General features: G+C 40.9%; 2 annotated features.

Moving 5' to 3' along the window:
• Positions 2,307 to 2,396: a silencer, noted in NCBI's record as "silent region_18897". NCBI's record gives its function as "represses an Ori minimal core promoter by ATAC-STARR-seq in GM12878 lymphoblastoid cells {active_cell/tissue: GM12878}" and the evidence as "EXISTENCE:reporter gene assay evidence [ECO:0000049][PMID:35858748]".
• Positions 2,427 to 2,486: a silencer, noted in NCBI's record as "silent region_18898". NCBI's record gives its function as "represses an Ori minimal core promoter by ATAC-STARR-seq in GM12878 lymphoblastoid cells {active_cell/tissue: GM12878}" and the evidence as "EXISTENCE:reporter gene assay evidence [ECO:0000049][PMID:35858748]".

Genomic DNA, 3,739 nt, shown 5'->3' on the forward strand with positions numbered 1-3,739 from the left:
ATTAGATAGATTGATGAAATAATTTTGTATCTGTATAAGCACTTTAAAATATTTAGGGGCTGGGAGAGGTGGTTCATGCCTGTAATCCTAGCACTTTGGGAGGCCAAGGTGGGTGGATCATTTGAGTCCAGGAGTTCAAGACCAGTCTTGCCAACATAATGAAACCGTGTCTCTACTAAAAATACAAAACATTAGCTGCGGGTGGTAGCACACGCCTGTAATCCTAGCTACTCAGAAGGCTGAGGCATGAGCATCACTTGAACCTGGGAGGTGGAGGTTATGGTGAGCTGGGATTGCACCACTGGACTCCAGCCTGGACAACAGAGTGATACTGTCTCAAAAAAAAAAAATATATATATATATACACACACACAGAGAAATAGATAATATAGATAGACAGATATAGATAGATAGATAGATAGATAGATAGATAGATAGATAGATAGATAGATTTAGGAGGAAAAAAGTATAGTCCTTTTAAACCTTTGAATGATTTTTAGAAGCCTAATAGGGTTATTAGGAAGAAAAGCATTCATTTACAAGCGGAGAATTAATCTGCAAATACAGTGGTGCAAAATACCCGATAGGAGAAGAAAAAATAATCTCATTTGGCTAGGGAAAGGAAGATGGGCATTTGCTGGATAATATATATCACTCTATATCTATAATATGTCTTTTCTTAGTCTTTTTTATTTTTCAACACAAGAGACTATCAGTACTGAGTCTAACAGTCTTGGGTGGAAGGGGTAAAAGCTTGGAGGAGGAAGCTGGCTGGGGGCTGCCTGGATAGGATTCAAGATCATAGATTAGCAAATTTCCGGAAGGAATCTGCTGCACAGTCAGGTCAGCCTGACCACTTTGCCACCCGCAGCTTTTCTACTGATTAGATTTGTAAATGGGCCAAGACCTAGACATTCATCCTGCAGCAATTCAGCAAGGCAGACACGGAATTAAGTCTGAATGGACATGCTCAGGAGCTCCAAACCAAGCAGGAGAGAGGCAAGGAATCAATGAACCTCTTGGAATTTATATCAAATGGACAAAAGAGCAGGCAGTATGTGGGCCTCTATAACAATGGCTTTGTTCCATTGTTAACAGTAGTGCTACCATCATGAGCTGAGCATGGAGGTAAGCCACATTCCATCGCACTCTTTGCTGGGTGTGATGAATCTAGAGTTAGCAGGTGTGTGTTGACACTCAGAGAGAAGCAGTCTTGGTGAAAAGACCTCTAAGCTATTGAGGCAGCTACTATGTCAGAACAGAGAGATTGACTCTAGGAGAGTTGAGGTTTACCAGGGAATAGAGAGGAAGTTAGAAGGACCAATGTGGCCTTCCTTGCAAAATTTAGAGAGTGGCTTTTCTGTTAAAACAGGACTAGCTATTGTCTACGGTAGTGTTTCTCGAATTTTAATATGTGCATGAATCCCCCAGGGATCATATGAAAATGTCCAGCCTTGATTCAGTGGCTCCGAAGTGGCCTGAGATACTGCATTTCTAACAAGTTCCCCAGAGTTGCTGAGGCTGCTGAAAACAAACCACAACACTAAATTCTAGAATATTCCCTAGAAATATTTTTAAGCTGAAGAGAAGACAAAGATAATTAGCAAGCTAGTTTTTCCTTGGGCCTGAGTGAGGCCAGGATTGGATTAAATTATGATTTTTATCTGGTTAGGGATCAGTGCTAAAGGTAACAAACTGTGCCTGGATGTGTGTATCACTTTAGCATTTGCTCTAATAGTGGTCAGTTTGTAAATACAGTATTCTTATGTTTATTAGCTCATTTAGAGAAAAGTATATTCTTTAGAAAATTATTTGTTGCATAGTAGCAATGAATAAATGGATAAATAAACAACAAGTGAAAATGCATTGTACATTCCGACTTAGCAAAGCAAACGAGAAATACTTCATTTCAGGTTAAAATGCCAAACCTAGATAACTATTTCTACATGATGGCATCTAAAGGAGAACCTTCCCAGACTGGAAATACAGCCTTGTTGTTCACATTACTCAAATTTACTTTCCTGGAGTTAGTGAATTTCTGAAACATACACACATACACACACAAATATATATTAGGTTGGTGCAAAAGTAATGGCAAAACCACAATTACTTTTGTACCAATCTAATATTGTGCACAAATGCAAACTTCACAGGGACACTGGCAAGGGGTAGTGACAGTGGCATTTTTTCAGAAGTGCTGAAACTCTAAATACTAATACAGTCAAGGTATTGTGGCTGGAAACAAGGTATAACTTGGTAATTGGTGGTTGCCAGGGAGATCTACGCAGCTGCCCAGCTGAAATTCAACATCTGCCCAGCTGGAATTCATTCTCAGACAGAGGGTTATAGTGGTGCGCAGGGCCAGGGGACTGCAAGGGTTAATTCCCTTGTAGTAGTTTCTCACATCCTCTTCCAGCAGACACCCACAAAGTACTATTCAGTTTGCACTGTAACAAATGTTATTTCTGGGCCTCAGTGAGATAATGGTAAGTGAATGTAATTCACTCTCATTAATATATTAAAATGAGTATGAATTTTAAATTAGAAGGAACAAGTCCATGGTCGAAGAATTGAAATTGGATTTATGTGATTTGACTTCGTAGTCATTTATCTACAATACTCATTGATACTAATTGCACAGTTTCCTCTTCACATTCCCACTGGGCAGCACGTGTGTGTGTGTGTGTGTGTGTGTGTGTGTGTGCATGTGTTATGTATTTGAATTAAAAGACACTGAGAAGTAGCGCCTAAAAATGTTCTCCTTAGCAGCTTCCATTAAAGATGTTAAGATGGCCAGGCGTAGTGGCTCACGCCTGTAATCCTAGCACTTTGGGAGGCGGAGGTGGGTGGATCACCTGAGGTCAGGAATTTGAGACCAGCCTGGCCAACATGGTGAAATTCCATCTCTACTAAAAATACAAAATTAGCTGGGCATGGTGACGGGAGCCTGTAATCCCAGCTACTCGGGAGGCTCAGACAGGAGAGTCACTTGAACCCAGGAGGCGGAGGCTGCAGTGAGTCGAGATCGCACCACTGCACACCAGCCTGAGCATGACAGAATGAGACTCTGTCTCGAAAAAAAAAAAAAAAGATGTTAAGACAAGATTCTTACCCTAAGTTACAGCTGCCCAGATTTATACCCCCATAAGAAGCAAAATTAACTGGATTCTGTAACTAAGGTTGCTTATGTGTTTCAAGACACTGCTTGCAGTATGAGTGGAAGTTTAAACAAGGTTTCTTGTATTCATAAGTGAACAGTGACAACAGAGCAAGGAAGAGACTCTGAAATATGTGTACTTTTGATTCAGGGAAAGGAAGAACAGGTTGCTCCAGCAGTTGCAAAGAACCAGGATCTTGCAGGATCCTGTAGGATCTTGGGCAAATGAACTTTACCTAAGTTTCAGCTTTCTTCACTTAGAAGATAACATTTTGAGATGTGATATGGCAGAGCAGTTATAAGCTTGGGATGTGGAGTCTGACAGTGATTCATTAGTTCAGTAAATATTTATGGAGTCCCTGCCAGGAGCTGGGCACTGTGCTGGACAGCAGTGGAGTTGTATGGAGCAAGCAGGTTTCCAGTGCTCATGGCAATTCGAACTTAGCACAGCTGACAGATGAGAGCAAATGGTCACAACTAGCTGTGTGACCCTGAGGAATGATCATAATAACAAGCATTAACCGAGAACCTGTGGCATACCAAACTCTTTTCTCAGTGCCTTACATGAAAAAGCTCATTTCA

Source organism: Homo sapiens, chromosome 8, assembly GCF_000001405.40.
Source record: "Homo sapiens chromosome 8, GRCh38.p14 Primary Assembly".
Classification (NCBI taxonomy): Eukaryota; Metazoa; Chordata; class Mammalia; order Primates; family Hominidae; genus Homo; species Homo sapiens.